General features: G+C 40.0%; 1 protein-coding gene across 5 annotated transcripts in view; it reads right to left on the reverse strand.

The window, feature by feature from the left end:
- The window catches only part of CA8 (carbonic anhydrase 8), a 95,989-nt gene that overhangs the window by 24,616 nt on the left and 52,595 nt on the right, over positions 1-18,778 (reverse strand). For 3 of the 5 annotated variants that reach the window (NM_001321839.2, NM_004056.6, NM_001321837.2), the window contains 3 exons: positions 16,846-16,908; positions 14,510-14,558; positions 12,622-12,734 (listed from right to left, as the gene is read on the reverse strand). In NM_001321839.2, coding sequence (NP_001308768.1) covers positions 12,622-12,734; positions 14,510-14,558; positions 16,846-16,908 — 225 coding nt within the window. Of the gene's footprint in view, positions 1-12,280; positions 12,331-12,621; positions 12,735-14,509; positions 14,559-16,845; positions 16,909-18,778 lie in introns of all 5 variants that reach the window. The other 2 variants (NR_135821.2, NM_001321838.2) reach the window with 1 other exon arrangement.

Raw genomic sequence — 18,778 nt, forward strand, 5'->3', positions numbered from 1 at the left:
CACTTAAGTGCCACACAGTCACATGACACATTCTTCATTCCATATACAGAAGGGGAAACTGAGGCTGGAAGTTTTGAAAATTACCAGATTAGCTAGTGGGTAAGTCTGACAATTCCAAGTCTACCTGCTCTTTTCTCAGCTCCACAGTCATCTCTTTAGGAATTCTAGTCAATTCAATATAATCTATCTCCTTCACATACCCCAGGGTATTGAGCAAACGTGATTTGGGCAGCATCAATCCACCAAAAGTTCACCATCTGTGTATCAAGGGATTATATCCACAAAGATCCTTAATATGACATAGCTATAGAATTCTGCCATTCATAAAGAGAAATGAAACACAAGACAGCAACTAATTCAGGGGTTTCAACAAAGTCAAGAGACACCTATAGAGACTTTAGGGGGCCCACGAAAGCCCTGAATGATATGCAAATTTTTACATGTGCATTTTCCTCAGGAGAGGCTCCCTGACTCCAAGAGTTGAATCCCACAACATTCTAATTCAACACACTCATACATAGAGTTGGAAAAAAATTAAACGGATAGTTCAATTAGAATCCGGGTCAGAAAGCCAGCTTCTTTTCTGTGGGTTTTTTTTTTTTCTCTCTGTACTTACATGCGCTTCGAATGTCTTATTTTTCCATGTCACTGAATACTGGTTGATTTCCCTTAATGAGATTAAGTCTGACCCAACTGGGATTGTCCTGTTTAGTTTTTTATTGTACCTATATGCTGTATTTACATAGAGAAGCCAGTCAGATAAGCAATCAGCTGTTTAATCTACTTGATGGTTTTTCGCTAGATCTTCTTCAGCTATTAGAATGAAAATACGAGTAGCATCTATTGCTTGTTGCATCTGAAAAACTTCTAGAGACGAAGCTGCATGAGAATCCCTTATTATTTGCTTTCACCTTAAAGTTTTCCCTAAGTACAGAGTGAAAAGGAACCTGGTCAGTGAGAGAATCTTATGCTTTTTCAAAAAGAAGAATATCACAGTGAGGGCAGTGGACTCTGCACCCAAAGGCCAATTCTTGTCGTGCTCTGCCACCTAAGACCCAAAAGATCAAATGACTTCACCTCTTCAAACCTCAGTTTCCACATGTGTATAACAGACATAATAATAACAGTATTCACAAGGATAGCCTAGGAAATAAGAAAGAACATTCATGAAAATCACTCAGCATAGTTCCAAGCACATAGGAAGTGTCTGACAAATACTAGCACTTCTATTGCACAACTTCTTTTGAAGTGAAACCTTCAGCACTTTGAGATAAATATTTAGCTACAGTTGTATATGCAGAAAGTATTTATAATAAACCAATAATTTCACTGAGGAAATTTAAAGTCATCTCTCCTAGCATTCGCTTTCCATGTAATCATACTTAATACCTGCAACCTGAACCTATGAAGCATGCACAGGTCACTGAGGAGCAATGTGGGCTGGGAACTTTACTGCCTCAACATATGAAAGAATCCATTTTTTATTGACTTTGAAGATTATTTTAAAGCTGGGTTAATTTTATATTTATGCATTCTGAACTGGAGATAAACCTTTCAAGCCCCAGGCCTCACCCTGAAGCACATTCTGTGAAAACAACTTCTTCCAGAAGAGATGATCTGAATCAACAGCCAGCCAGTCTCAAATCACTGTACTCTCAGAGAAAACTATTTCACAAGAAATGTTTTTCTCTGATCACAGCAACACTTTGAAGACTTCCAACATCAACAGAGATGGAGGGGAAAATGTGTCTTTCTGAAATGCCAATTTTTCTAAAGCAACCACCCCCAAAACCCTTTAGTCACTTCAAATGGTTTCAAGTGCATACTGAATCAGCCACACTGAAATGAGAGATTGTGATAAATGAACAGAATAATAGAATAATATTTCAGGATAGAAATCTTTAATGAAACTCAAATGTCAAGGCCTTCCAGAGACCATTATTATCACATATATCTGAATGTATGACTGCATCTATTGTTAATGCTACTCCACTTAAACATAGTATGTGTTATTTGTTTTTAACCAATTTAAGAGAAAACTGAATGCGGGGCACCAACATTGAACATTTCATGGAGAAGTCGCCATCTTCTGAAGGTACTAGATTCAACAGCCACTGTTCTTTGAACGACAGGTGCACTCCAATTGGTCTAAGACATTTATTCCAATCTTCACTGCCTCAAAAACCAAATTATCCACTAAAAGTTCAGCTTTAAAACTGCTTCTTTATTAATGCATTCAAAGGGCTAATTTCCAGGGTTTGCAGTTTAGGGCTACTTAACTTTCAGGAGTTCCCAAGTTCTAATAGATTTATTTTCACTTGCATTTCATGTGTCATCATGTTAAAAGAGAAATACAACACATAAAAGTCAGTATGCTCTATCCATTAACCCATCTATGGACATTTATGTGGTTTCCCTGTCTTGGCTTAATGAACATGGGAGTGCAGGTATCTCTTCAAGATACTGACTTCAATTTCTTTCAATCTATATCCAGAAGTGGAAATCAACAAGACATGGAAACACAAGTATTGTATGAACTCACTTATATGTGGAATCTAAAACAATCAAACTCTTAGAAGCAGAGAGAAGAATGGCAGCTGCCAAGAGCTGGCAGGAAGCAGAAATGGGGATGTAATGGTTAAAGGGTACAAAATTTCAGTTATGCAAGATAAATAAGTCCTCGAGGTCTCCTATACAGCACAGTACCTATAGTTAACAATACTGCATTGTACACTTTAAAATGCTAAGATGGTAGATCTTATGTTAAGCGTTCTGACCCAGTAAAATATTTTAACAACAAAGGACATGGGAGGAAACTTTGGGAGGTGACAGATATTTTATGACCTTGATAAAATGGTTCTTTATAAAAGTTAGTGCTCTCACTTTCTTTTATTATCAATAACAAGAGTCAGAATAACACAATTCCAAATGGTACTAATCAAATTAAAAAGTCAAAAGCAAATTGTACTTAAACAGTCCATATATGTATACAGAGACAGATATAGACAGAGAGGACTCTCCACCTTTCATGTACTGCAGCCTTGTTTTTGCCTCATTTCTCTTCTACCCCATTATATAATGTTCTATCTAAAACCAATGCTCCCTCTTCCTTACCAACCTCTCATTCATAAACCAACTCTCACTCTGTCATGACTCTTTAATCGATCTTTTCAATTTTTTTGAGGAAGAGAGTAGGAAGAACATTCACTCCCTGGTAACACCGACGTCAACGGTCCTGAAGCCATCCCCAGCCTAAAGGAGCCTCAGCCTTGGCCGTTGTCGGCCCTCATCACCTCAAGAGAGTTTCTGAGCCACACAGATTTAAACATACTAAAGAATTACAGATTAGAGAGCTCACAACCACAGGGAAAGTGCTGCCTATCACTTAAGACACTGAGAAAATACATATAAAAATCTCTACAAGCAATTAAAAATAACACATTTTAAGAAAGGGAAGAAAGAGTCTCCCCAGAGAGAAGATCCTTGATTTGCACTGTCCAGGATGGCAGCCACCAGGCCCACATGGCCACCAAGCACTCGAAATTTGGCTTGTCCAATCTGAGATGTGCTGGAAGTGCAGAATACACACTGCAAGGCAAAGACTCAGTATGAAAATAAGGAGAGAAATCTCATCAATAACTTTTTACCTTGACTACATGCTAAAATGATAGTATTTTGCACGTATTGGGTTAAATACACTATTTGAATTAATTTCTTAATTTCACCTGTTTCTTTTGACTTTTTTTTTTTTTTACCATGGCTACTAGAAAGTTTAATATGTGGATCACATCATGTTCCCACTGGACAGGGCTGGCCTAGCGCTGCCCTTCACACGCACCTTCAGGACCTCGGCATTCTCGGGTTATAGCGCTGATCTCAATTACATGTAAAGACGAATGCAGGTACATATGAAACAGTGGTTCTCAAAGTATCCTCCCAGAATAAAAGTTTAAGTTGTCAGCAACTACCCCAGACCTACTGAATCAGCAACACAGGGGTGGAACGCAGCAATCTGTGCTTCAACAAGCCTTCCAGGGGATCTGACACATGCTCAAGTCTGAAAACCATGGCTGTCTTCGTCTGTTTTGTGCTGTTATAACAGAATACCTGAGACTGGATGATATATAAAGAACAGAAATGTATTTTCTCACAGTTCTGGAGGCTGGAAGTCCAAGATCAAGACATTTGGCATTTGGTGAGGGCATTATTCATTCGTCCTCATGTAGCAGAAGGCAGAAGGACAAGCAAGCCAACAAGAAAATGCTGTGTGAAGCCTCTTTCTTAAGGGCCTTAATCCATTAACAAGGGAAGGACCCTCATGGCCTAAACACCTCTTAAAGGTCCCATGTCTTAATACATCACATTGGCAACACCTGAATGTCAGAGGGGACCCATTCAGGTGGGTCCTGAAGAAAGGACAGAGAAGAAAATCTCCAACAAATGTTCCCAGTCATTGAAAATCTATAACAAATGTTCCCAATCATTTGAAGTGATTGTCAAACATAACCATGCTGTGGCCCTACGGCAACCTGGACTTTAGGGAAACAGCCCCTTCGATTCCATATGGAGCATGAAGACCCCTGAGAAAGACTTGCTGCTTCATGAATGGGGTCAGACTTCCTCAATTGTCCAGGGCCAGATGTGCTTCCAGATCCCACAGGCTGAGCACATGCCAGGCACTAACTCGGGCTGTCAGGATGTAAAGAGTCCTACTTTCCAACCCACAGGAAACATGGAATGCAGAGGGAATGAAGAGGAGGAAAGACAGAAGAAAAGAACATTTAAAGCAGTTTTCAATATTCTAGAAGACGTATCATGTATCCACAGGGTGAAAAAACAACAAACACATTCATATTCCTTCATTTCACTGGTGTTATTTTAAGTTGAAAGAGACAGGAAAAAACAGACATTTAATATGAAAATGTAGATAAGCTAAGAAATAGATAAGTAGGGAGGGAATGCAGAAAAAGGAGGAAGAAAAGGGCAGGAAAAGGACAGCAAAACTTAATTATCAACCCATTTCTGTATGTGTACATACGTATTTGCACAGATGGCACTATACCATAATACCCTGTTCTATCAATTCTAAGATTAATATGTATTCACATTTTAATGACTCTGTGAAATCAGAATATGTCTTAAAATTTCTGTTGTTAGATTTGGTAATGTTTTGGTATTTGTATTCTGTTCTTGGAATCTCATTTCTAAACACGACAATCCAGCTGATTGGCTTCCGAATGCTTAGACGGTTGTTTATATTACAGTTATTTAATGGTTAAAATGTCCATAATCAATGAGTGGATAAAAACACTGTCGTGTGTGTGTGTGTATACACACACACACACACACACACACACCGGATCCCCACTTTGGGGACTCAGGGGGAAAGGGTGGGAAGGGGGTGAGGGATAAAAGACTACAAGTTGGGTTCAGTGTATACTGCTTGGGTGATGGGTCCACCAAAATCTCACAAATCACCACTAAAGAACTTACTCGTGTAACCAAATACCACCTGTTCCCTAAACACCTATGGAAATAAAAAAATTTTAATAAAGTTATGTAATGGTTAGAGGTAATTTTTAAAAAAGAAATATATACTCATTCAGATCCGTTCAATTGTGTTTTTTCTCCCTACATAAGGCATGCTAACCAGGAATAATATGAAAAATTCAGCTAAGAAGGGGCTTCCAATTTTAGAATTCCTATTCTAGAATTCCTATTAATAGTACTCAGGACAATGTATGATGGGCTTAACAGTCCACACTACACTTCAGCTGAAGTCTACACCTCCCTGAATCACAGCTACTATGCATTTAATAGGAAACCATTATGATTTAGAACTTCAATGTTGCTAGTGCCAATACTATTATCCTATGGCAGGTGATGCATGTCAAGATACCAATTCTTTCCACAATAATATTCAGCAGCTTAATTACATACATAAACCTTATGGTATAGAAGAAAACACTGCTCTTTAATTTAATGCAAAATTTTTAATTTCTCAATATAATCAGCTATGTGGAAACTACCTGCCATTCATTGTTCCTTTTGCTATGTTATATGTCAAGCATCTCTCTCCTCCCCTTCTCAATTCTTGAGGCTTCTCAATTTTTCTTGGTCTAACTCCTAGAATCACATTCTCTTCTTTTGATTCCTCTCACTTTTGCTGCCTTCTTTGGACCTTTTCCATTTTTACTCTGCTTCCTGTGAAATTCTATGAGCAGCACCAAGTAAAACATTCAAGGACAGACTGACTTATATTCCCCTAAGATTATAATTTTTTCTAAATCACTCTAAATTGCATTTTAATATACGTAAATGTGTGTCTGTGTGTGTCTACATTTTAACTCTGCTGCCCTCTGAACAGATGCTATGATGGAGCTCTGTGCTAATAGCACCTAAATCTTTTCCTTGAGAAGTACAGCTAATTGAAAAGTCATCTATTTTGAAGGGCAGTTGAGATTATTCCTTCTAATATGCATTCATTCAGCTTCGGCTCCCCTGTGGTAAGATATGGTTTATCTCCCAATCATCAGGGAGCATGACTTTAGTAGGTTAGGGTTAGACTTTGTCACTGGCCTATTTCAAGGAAAAATACAAAGTTAGGTTCCCTTTGAAGCCAGAGAGCCTAAGGCACGATGGTCTGTCTCTGGATCTTAGCATAATACACTGGCCAGTATAGTAGTAAAATATTGTATCATATCTACAGGATCCGTTAACATTCTCAATATAGTTCAGCATTAACATTGTGAATGCTGGCAAGGGAATCCTTAAAGGAATTCTAGGTAGAAATGGGAATGTTGGGCACTCAACAAATCTAAACCTTTCAATAAATTAAGATTTGTTGTGATTATAAAGAACATTTTTGTTTTTGAGATGGAGTTTCATTCTTGTTGCCCAGGCTGGAGTGGAGTGGTACAGTCTCGGTTCACTGCAACTTCCGCCTCCCAGGTTCAAGTGATTCTCCTGCCTCAGCCTCCCAAGTAGCTGGGATTACAGGCGCCTGCCACCACACCTGGCTAATTTTTGTATCTTTAGTAGAGACAGGGTTTCACCGTGTTGGCCAGGCAGGTCTCTAACTCCTGACCTCAGGTGATCCGTCCACCTCAGCCTCCTGAAGTGCTTGGATTACAGGCGTGAGCCACCACGCCTGGCCAAGAAAAAAAAAGTTTCACTAAAAGATCTGATCTACTTTTAGGAAATTACCCTCGATAAAGTAATGCTGAACAAATGTGACCATAGACACCCAGCTCGTCTACTTTGTTCTCAAGTCTATAATCTCTCCTTGTGGCTAAATCCAGTTATCACTTTTTAGTCCTTAACTGAATGTGTGTGCAGAATCTGACACTCGTAATCTCTCCACTCCTTCTTGAAACTTGCCTCTCCCATGGCTTCTCTAACCATCACATGAGTCTCCTGACTTTTTCCACTTCTCAAGACATTTCCTGGGGACACTCTTACAGTGCACATCCCTGGTTACAAATCCCTCGTTCTCTGAATCAGTTCTTTTCTCTCCCTGAATGATTTCCTCTTCTACACTAACAGCTTCACCCACCACCTGTATACCATACCCCTTTCTTGGATGTCTTAAAGGCATCTCAAACTCTCAATATGCAACCATAAACTTGGCATCTTCTCCATGAAGGCTGCTCTTCCTCCTTGATTCCCTATCATGGTAGAAAGCAATACCTTACACTTGCCAGTCAACCAAGCCAAATCCAGGGGAGGTCCAGTGACAAGGTGGTCTTTCCTTCCCAAAATCCTTCCTATGTCATCAGCCACCAGGTTCTGCTTCTACTTCTTTATTATTTCTAAAGTTACTCCCTTCCCTCCATCTCATTGCCATGTGACCCACATCTTCATACTGCAGCTACAGAGCATGTTTCTTGAATTCAAATTCGGTCATATCTCTCTCCTCCTTACAACATTTCTGTGATTCTTTGCTACCTTCAGGAGAAAACCCAACCTCCATGGCACAGCCCTGAGGCTCAATGAGGAAGTCTCCTGCTTCCCTCTCCAACCCCCTCATGTCGCAGGCTCTCCACACTTACCGCAAGCGTTCCCCAAATACACTCTGCTCTCTGGCCTCCCTGCCAGACACAAGCATACAGACACTTTTCCCCTGTTGGCAATTCCCACGAATACTCAGACAACACCTCTTGACCTGGCTTGGGGAAGGCCTTCTAGATAACTAGCTCTCATCCAGGTACCTTTCCTATGTGCTACCTCAAGACTACGTCCATACCATCCCATAGCGCTGGACACAGCAAATGACTGGGTTTTTTTTTTTTATGTACACCTATGTATCAGCTGGCCTTTCCTCCTAGATGGTGAATTCTTTGAGAGTGTCTTTTTTATCTCCCCTTGTCAGTACTGATTCCAGTAACTGGCACATAGCAAATGTCGAATAATTGCCAAATAAATGAATGAATGAATGCATGCATTCCTTCAGACTCCACATCAGTCTCAAAGGAGCAATTTCACATGCTAAAAACTGCCTATGAAAAGGATAAAAAAAAGGAAGCTAGGACTATGACATAATTACCTTACTACATCAATACACTGCTTGTATTAACAGGGTCAATGACAAGTAAAAGCAAATGAATGCATTCGAGTATCATAAAACATGCTGTATGTTAAGCCTTGGGGCTTTGAAATTTGGGCATCTAAGACTTTGGCTATCTGCAACAACAACAAAAAAATGTGTATGTATCCTCGAGACAAATTGTAGGAAAAGTAAATGCAGAGGAAAGTTTGATGTTTTACATGTATCATTCATAGAACAACAGTGACTATACGACCCACGGCCCCTGCTCGTGTTGCAGTCCCTGAGTCTGACCTGGATGGGGCGGCCGGCAGTGAGCATGGCCCTCACATGCCTGCTAACCCCAGACCCCTTCTCTGCTTCAGAAATACAAAGTCAGCAAGAGAAGGGACCTGGAGCAACTAGATAGCAAACAGAAAAGAGTGCATTGCACGGGGTCCTACCAGTTTAGAAGAGTCTTAGAAAGGATACCTCAGGAAGTTATCAGCCTCAGGAAAGTGCCTCAGGGGACTGTATGCTCCCATCCTCACTACTTGACTCTTCTCTGTACATATTCTTTTCTTGGGTGTCTTATTTCTTTTGTTATTCTGCCTTTTTTTTTTTTTAGACGGAGTCTCGCTCTGTTGCCCAGCCTGGAGTGCAGTGGCACAATCTTGGCTCACTGCAACCTCCACCACCCGGGTTCAAGCAATTCTCCTGCCTCAGCCTCCTGAGTAGCTGGGATTACAGGCACCTGCCACCACACCCGGCTAATTTTGTATTTTTAGTAGAGATAAGGTTTCACCATATTGGCCAGGCTGGTCTCGAACTCCTGACCTCGTGATCTGCCCGCCTGGGCCTCCCAAAGTGCTGGGATTACAGGCATGAGCCACCGCGCCCGGCCTATTCTGCTCTTTTTTTGATGCTAAGGATCCCTAAATCTGCACATTAGGCCTCAGCCTCTGAAGTTCTTGTCATGTGTTTCCAACTGTCTGAGAGAAACAAAACTCCTCCAACTGGGGATACAGAACATAATAACAGAAAAGGCAGAAACCTCCTCTAACACTGCTGGGGGCTTCCTGACAAGGCCTCATGTAGAAAGGTCTCAAATAAACTGCAGTGTTGAAGAGGGCACACCAAAAGGGGCAGGAGTTAAGCACCCAGCACTGACATCACACATGACTGGCTGGATCCCCAAATCCACCCTTACTACCTGTGTCAACCAGGCAAAGGTTTCTTAATCTCCCTAGGCCTCAATCACCTCATCTGAAACCTGGGAATGATAACGGCAGTCACCATATCAAGGGATCAACTGTTGTATTCACAGATTATTTTCAATATGCCTACAAAACCTCTAGTATTTCCTAAATCTTAACTTAAAAAAAAAAAAAAAAAAAAAAAACACTTGACTATTCTCTAAACGTTGTCCCTAAAACCCTCCTTGCCTTTCCCACAAAACTTCTAGAAAGATGGTCTATATATGGTCCATATTTATGCTTGGTCCCTCTACATTCAGCTCAACATTCTACGGAAACATCTCCTTTGGGTTAACAATGGCCTAACTGGCGATTATAGCTCTTGTTCATGAATCTTGTTTGCAGTGATGAGGCAAATCAGAAAAGAAAAGAAGGCGTTCATCATGGTAGGGGCCTCAAGGCAAACTGCTTAGATGGGCTAAGGTGTTTACTTACCTGGAGGAACCAGAAACAGCACAGTGGAAGGGATGGAGGAGGAATGGTATTGCAGAAGGGAAGCCAAAACTCAGCAACAGAGGAGGATACTAAAACCAGAATCAAGCAGTGAGCATACCTAGCTAGGGAAAACATTAGGTACCAGAGGACATGAACAAGCTGAGATCCAGAATTTAAGCCAGATGGAAGCCAGAAGTTCAGAACTCTGAACACCTGGGCCCATTTTTAAAAGGTCCTGTAGTTATTTGATGCTTGGGTTGGCAGCACTCGTCCACAGCACTTCTCAGTATTAACCCCCTCCTCCTCCACATCTTGGCAACACTCCCTCCCTGTTCTTCTCAAGACCCCTGGTCCTTAGTTCCTAAGAAGGCATCATCTCCCCCATCTCCACTGCAGTGTTGCACTCAGCGGGGGCTATCTTCTTGTCTTCCTACTCAGCTTGAGCTATGGCGCCAGGAATTCTAGCTCGTCTGATCACTGAATCTGTTTTTTAGTTTCTTCTTGGGAATGAAGCTAGAATGCACTTCCCAGCCTCCCCCGCCGTTAGGGTAGTTATGTGACCAGTTCTAGCTAACAGAAAGCAAGCACAAGTGGAGCTCCCTGTTTCTACTACTGGCCCTCAAAAGATCCCTGTTGAGATCCTTCGCCCTATTTTCACTGAGGGCAACTGTGGGAGGAGGACAGTGAAGATGGAAGTGTTTCTTTCTATACAGAATGACTGCGAATGACTACACAGAGAAAAGCCTTCACTGCGAATCAGAAACACACATGTTGAATTTTATGTGAGCATGAAATAAATTTCTACTGTGTTAAGCCACTGACATTTTGAGGTTTATCTGTTGCAGCAGCCAACATCTTCGCTGTTAAGTCCCAAATCTAGATATCGTGAATCCAAAACTCTAGGCTTAACATTAGACCCAAATTTCTAACTTCTTTCCTGTCCTTCACCAGACTAACTTCTAATATTTTGCTGAAATTATTCCCTAAACCTCTTGGACTGGGTTGGGTTTCTTCCATATGTGTTTCCAGAGCACCTTACTTATTATCATGTTAATTATTTAGTCATCTGCCTCCCCAACTCTATGGTGAAATTTTTGAGAGTAAAGACTGTGTTTTAATCTTGTTATCTTCTGTGTCCAGTTAGCATTCAGGAAGGGTTTCTTTTTGTTCTTCATTTTTAAATTAAAAGCAAAGTGCATTTAGTGGTACTAAGAAACAAGAACACATCACCAGTGATAAGTGAGTATTGGCAGCATATACCCCTGTTCAGTGTGATGACAAGAGCCCTTCACCTCCACAGTTGTTTTTCTCAAACCCATACCCCTAATCTAATCATGTGGAGAACAGTCTCTTATAAGAACAAATAGATGAATGACTAAATATAGGAATTAGGATTTGTCATAAAAATATGAAGGTTCAAAAGTGATATGATCAAAGTTCATAAAATAATGAAGGGTATGGGGAGGAGAGGCTGAGTGGGGAAATTTTTAAATTAATCCCTAGCAAAACAGAAATAAAGAGAAATTATTAAATGTTGGAAGAAGGATTTTTTTTTAAGATTTAAGGACAAAATAAAGAAAGCTTTACTGAGAAGTTAGTGAACTTGAGCTTTTTAACTTCAAGAATTAAAGGCAAATATTTAAAAGCTATCAAAGAAAACTGGTTTGCTGAGAGTATTTCCCAGGCCTTTTGAGGTTGATCATGGAAGAAACAATATAGCTCTCCAGAACATATCCATCCCTTACACAGATCCCTGAAAGACAGGAGATATTTAAAGCCCCTTCTGTAATATTAAAATCATGGCTTAAATACATTCGAGTGGCGCTGCCTCATGTTCCACCAGCTAACATCCCAGTGACAATTCAGTTGGATGCTCCCACCCACCGTGCAGTACCATTTAGGGCACCTATGAAGAGCCCAAGGCCGGGGGTGGGCGACCAAAAGTAGAGCTAGAAAACAATCCAGAATTTTCTAGGGCACTCCTTCTGGGTCCTTCACCCCGCACATGCAGAATTTTCCTGTACACACCAAGGCAAAACTATTTCAAAGCCTATGAGTGACTTACAGAAATAACCGGCATCCCCACTTTACGTCCAGACTTTCCATTCTCCACACCTGGGGAAATTCACATAAGGAAATAACTAGACTAATAAAAAGTTTTGCTCTTTCAGTGATTTCTATTAACTCTCTAAAGACTAACTTTTAAAATATAGACCATAAATTAGTGTTGGATTCTGTCCATCCTTGACCTTTCAATCACTTTCACTAGTTCAAGCCATTTAACTTTCATCTGGAAAGGTATGACTGATCTACAGGAAGCTAAAACACAAAACAGACATTTTCCTTTCTCAGAAACAATGTTTAACTCAGAACTTCACTCTGAAAGATTCAAAGTAGCACACTCACCTGTAGCTGGGATATAGTTAAAGGGTATCGGAATAATATCCAGGTGACACCTTCACTGCAAGGTGGGATGGTGAGAGAGCCTTCATACACCCAGTAATCCCGCAGCAGAGGGTCTGCACAGCCACGTGGACATGTAATGGAAAAGGCAAGTGAATTAATAACAATCCTGATGACTCCAACAACAATTTTCAAAATTACAAACTGTCCAAATGATGCTTCTAAGATGGATGTCATTTTTAAACTAGAGCCCCACAGTCTTACACTACTCATTGTGGAGAAAATAATTGATAAAAAGCATGATGAATTCTCTATTATTTACAGTGATTTCTATCAATGGATTACTATAGATACCTGTCAAGTTTAATCACTTTAGAAGTGTATCTATATTTTGGGTTTTTTCACTTTATTAAAGAATTTACCTATTTCATATCTAATATTTATTGAATGCTTATGACGTGCCAGCAATTTACTTTAATTCATTTAACCTTCACAACAAACCAGTGAGATAGGTAGTAATATTAATGTTATATTTCAGATGGGGAAACAGAATCTCAAAAGAGTAGTAGTTTGCCTGAGGTCACTCAGCTAATAATCACTGGCAGAGCCAGGATTCAAATTCAGGCAATCTGGCTTCATAACCTGTATTTTTTTTTTCTTAAGAGACAGGGTCTGGCTCTATCACCCAGGCTGCTGGAGTGTGGTGGTGTGACCATGAATCACTGCAGCCTCAAACTCCTGGGCTCAAGCGATCATCTCACCTCAGCCTCCCAAGCAGCTGGGACTATGGGTGCACACCACCACAGCCAGCAATTATTTCTTCTTTTTTTGAGAGCAAGGTCTGGCTATGGCTAGTCTCAAACTCTTGGCCTCAAGCAATCCTCTTGCATCAGTCTCCCAAAGTGTTGGGATTACATAGGTATGATCATGTCTGTCTGAAAGCCTGTATTTTTAACCATTCAGTTCTAGCTACCACTATACTGCTTCTGCAACAGCAAAATACTAAAATCATATTACAATAAAACAAAATGAGTCATTCTTATGAAATCCTTTAGCTCTGCATTAGAGGAATTTATGACTAATATGATGGATAAATGGTTAACATACGATAGAAATTGGTTTGTTGTAGAGCAATTAAATGTAGAAAATAGAAGATACAATGCATCAACTGGTTTTGTTTAAAACACTAAGGGACAGCACATAATTTGGGCAGAGAAATGTGAAGATCAAAATTTTATATACAACAACCTTTAAATCATATTCTGAGTACTTAATGTATAATTGTTATCTGTACAGAAATACAAGTGGAATAATACATAATAATAGTATTACTGCAGAGAGGTAACCTTATAAAATTAGATACAAAGTTTATTTTACTCTAAAGATTAAGAACTCCACTGATCAATCTTAGAAGTACATGAAGGTTTTTTCTTTGTTTGTTCGTTTGTTTGTTTGAGACAGAGTTTCACTTTGTCACCCAGGCTGGAGTGCAGTCACGTAATCTCGGCTCACTGCAACCTCCACCTCCTGGGTTCAAGCGATTCTCCTGCTTCAGCCTCCTGAGTAGCTGGGATTACAGGCATGAGCCACCACACCCAGCCAAAGTTATTTTATTATACTGATGCTTTACACAGAGGTAGCAATTTTTACAAATGACAATCCTACGAAAGCTCTTCATGGATCAATGGAACTAGTGGCAAAGTGTCTCTTTATTATTTCAAAAGGTTTACTTCCATATTTAGAGTAATCTGGAAATGGTATCTGCTAAACAGAATACAAATTGCAAATAAGTTTTATTAATTAACAATATATAGTTTTACATAGTCTGAAGAAAACAATGTGACTATAGCCACAGTTAAAATTCATTTTATGCAATCAGGTAAATACTCACCTGGTAATAAAGTGTTAGGATTAAAGCAAGGTATTGTTTTGGACTTCCCCTGAAAAAGAAAAAAATATTTACCCAATGTTAATGTAATATTTCTAGATTTTAGAATAAAAAATCTATTAGAACTAAAAAATTAGAATGAAGTCTTTTCTGAATGGCCTCATCAGGTCCCACAGACTTGTGGGTATCTCCTTCCACCTTCTCATTGGAGTAACATTGTCTGGTTCCTGCTCTAATTCTATGGCTATTTTCTTTGCTACCACAGTTCAATTCTCCCTGTAAGTCCTGGTGTGGAACCTACACTTGGTGCCCCATCTGCCCCATGTCAGTTACCTTTTCTGCTCTGAGCACATTCATAACAGAGATTTGGGCTAAATTCTCATTGTAAAATGCCTGAACCCTGGATGGGGGAATTTTCAAAATGCCTTTCCTCCTGCTTGCTTTCATTTCAGCTCCTAACCTTTCCGGCATTACAACCAGGCTTGCAACTTCCTGTCTTGTCCTATTTGGATTTGGTAACTCAGCTCTGGGATCTATGCTAGATGCTCTCCTCATCTGGAAAGGGAGATCTGATATAGATGGAAATATTCTGTTCCGATCAGTGTTTATCAAAGCTAGATACAAATTTCAAGGGAATCATTTGTGCTCTTATTCAACAATTCACATTTAAGATCATCATTTTAAATCATGTCATTTAAATTGCTTAGACTTTAGAGGAAAATAGTCCTGTCATGTGACTCAGATGTTTCTTAAAAGATTTTTCTCTATTGATACAGATGCAATAGGGAAAGTTATTGCATAACCTCCAAGTCCCTTCCTGACTCCCTGGGACTATTTCAAACATTAAAGAATCTAGCTTACTTGCCTCCCCGATCCCCCTGAATTCCATAATGACTGGTGTCCTATTAGATGATGAAATAAAGGAAATTTTCTCAGTCCACTGCAGTTGTACAAATATAAGTCAAAATGTGCCCTTATTGTCTTTTTATCAGCTTTTTTTATCTGGACTGGGCATCCCTTGGAAGCTGGGTTCCTTCCAAACCTACTCAGGAGATCTTCAGTGGAGGTTCTGCCTGGTTCAGGATACCCTGGGCTGTGCTAGTATAAAGCTAATCAAACTTGATTCCCAAATTGATCTTTCTTAAAACTGGCTTTGGGTCTCTGGATCCTCTGTAATTAAACAAGTTCAATTTCTGCTCTGTATCTCCAGCAGCCCTACAAGACTAGACTACTTCCCCTCCCCAAGGCCACTCACATTCAGCTAAGTGTGAGCCAAGAAGGCACTGCTTATAAGAGAGACTGGCATTGGGCCAGGCATGGTGGCTCACGCCTGTAATCCCAGCACTTTGCAAGGCCGAGGTGGGTGGATCATGAGGTCAAGAGATCAAGACCACCCTGGCCAACATGGTGAAACCCTGTCTCTACTAAAAATACAAAAATTAGCTGGGCGTGGTGGTGGCATTGGCTTCCTAGCAATGCTAGGCCATATCATGGCAGGGTCATGTGGATCACCTTCTCTTGGATATTATCTTACCACATATGTGTACTTGTTTTCTTTTTTTAAATTTATTTAACATAAATACTTTGAAATATGATTCCCCAAATTTTTATTTGTTTCATTTATACAACTTTCCTATAGCATGCAGGTAGGAAAGGGTTAACTCAGCAAGCCTGAGTTGCTCAAACCCTGCACATCCCATATAAAGGCCTGTCTTCAGGACTAACTCTTTGCTCCTGGGATATAACCTCTGAGCTTGGAATATTCTACCTGATAAGACTGTTTCTGTGTGCCTGCAGCCTTGGGCCATCCTGTATTTATGGTGAACTCCTGTTGTTACATGTCTGAGGCCTTGAGACATACTGTACCAATTGGAACAGATAAGCTGATGCTGACAATGTGACTTATGGCGAAGAGGGCAGGGAGACGGCTGCTGCTAGAGAGTGAGTAGCTGAGGTCAGCTATGTTGCATGCGTTTAGTGCTTGCATGATTGACCCCTAATAAATCTCTGGACACTAAGGCTAGAGTGAGCTTCCGTAGTTGTCAACACTTCACACATGTTGTGACACATCATTGCTAGGAGAATTAGGGGCATCCTCAAGTGACTCCACTGGGAGGGGACACCTGGAAGCTTGTGCCTGGTTTCCCCTGGACTTCATTCCATGCGCCTTTTCCCTCTGCTTTTTGACCTATTTCTTTTCACTGTAATAAACCATAACCACAAGGACAGCAGCTTTTCTGAGATCTGTGAGTCCTTCTAACACAGCATCGAGCCCGCAGGTGGTCACAGGGAGCTCCTACACAACCAGTATTTCTATATTATTTTAAATAATGACTTACCTTATACTGAATATCTTGGAGGATTTCAGTCACAGCCTTCAAGCCAACATGTTCCTTTCCTATCTGAAAAACATAAAGCATAAACCACAACCACAACATTTTTCAGTGTTTAGCTTTAACTAAAAAAAAACTAATAGGGCTGAGTGTGGTGGCTCATGCCTGTAACCCCAGCACTTTGGGAGGCCGAGTTGGGTGGATCACAAGGTTAGGAGATCGAGGCCATCCTGGCTACCACAGTGAAACCCTGTCTCTACTAAAAATGCAAAAAATTAGCTGGGCATGGTGGCACACCCCTGAAGTCCCAGCTACTCAGGAGGGTGAGGAAGAAGAATCGCTTGAACCCAGGAGGCGGAGAGGTTGCAGTGAGCCAAGATCATGCCACTGCACTCCAGCCTGGATGACACAGCAAGACTCTGTCTCAAAAAAAAAAAACTAACAGAACTCGGTTCTAGTCCATCTGAATGTCCTTTTTGAGGAATAATTAAATGGCCTTTTATTAATAACTAGGTCAATGTCTACTAAAGGTAATTAAAGTTGTGACAAACCTAGTATAATAAAGTATTAGTTACGTAAATGTCCAAGAACTCATTCTAAATTCTCTTTACTGTGTATAGGAATCACTCACTTTGCTATATGTAGTATATCAAATTACAAAATACTGTTAAATATAAAAATATCAAGGATATTTTTGAATTAAAACTACTCAGTACATGTTCAAACCCTTCCATGTTTAACTCTGGCATTTATAGATCATTGCTATAAAGATTTTAACAATACTGAAAAATTATATTAACTTAGAAAAGCAGGTGTGTGATTTTGTATGTTAAATTCACCAAAATCAAGACCTTTCTTGATTACTTCTAGACATAATTTTATAACTACCCTTCTATTCTTAAATAAATAATAATGTGCTTTTTATAGCCTTCTTTTTAAAAACATATCACTATATATTATTAGTGTATAAAATGCTCCCAAAAAATGGAGACAAAAAAATTCTAACATTTAATATTCTTGACTTTGGCTTTAAAACTTTTAAGTGAAATCTGACCAATTTCCAGTGGTCCATGATAATGGAGGAGAGTAATGGAGGTCATTTAGAACCTCAAATAAACAATCATTGCTTTTGTCAGTTTTTCTCCTTCCACATAGATATTTGGAGAATGACCTAAGAGAAGCCAGAGTAGCTGTAGATATGTTTACATTCTCTGTTTCTCCCAATGTTAACTAACTGCAAAACATGCAGATGAAAGAGCATCCAAAGGGAGAGGAGAGAGACAAGAAACGCTCTACCTAAGATAGGCCAGTCAGCTCTAAACAATCAAGACGTGAACTACTTTCCAAGAGTCTACAATTATTCCCGAGATAGGCTCTAAAAACAGAAAATAAATTTTGTAAAGTTAAAAACAAAAAAACATTTAAAACCTAATGCATATGTACCTGTGGCAGCAGCCTGAAATTTTAGGCAGAAATCATTACCCATTCTTCAGGAGAAATGGACTTCTCTTTTGTCTTACTGGTTTAACCATACTATAGCACTGGGAGGCCTACGTCTGCACTTGGGGTCTGTTTTCATCTCAGGCATCTCCTGTTGGGTTGTAAACTCTTTGAAGAGTCCACATATGAACCCTAAGGCCACTCAATGTGGTGCTCAGGAACAGGCTCACTTTGCACTGGACTGCCTGGATTCCAATCCTGACTCTGCCACCTCTTAGCTGTGTGGCCTTAAGCAAGTGTAGTTAACCTCTACATCCTTCCGCTTCCTCAGCTGTTTGCTGGAGAGGATAAAAATGATAGGGTTGAAGATAAGATTAAATCAAACAAAGACTGTGGAACAGGCTTGGGTCATCATAATTCACTTAATGTCCATTATTATTCTTAATCTGGATGCCCTACAGCATCAAATATAGTTTTTCCATATAGTAGCTCTTAACGA

Source organism: Homo sapiens, chromosome 8 (assembly GCF_000001405.40).
Source record: "Homo sapiens chromosome 8, GRCh38.p14 Primary Assembly".
Lineage (NCBI taxonomy): Eukaryota > Metazoa > Chordata > Mammalia > Primates > Hominidae > Homo > Homo sapiens.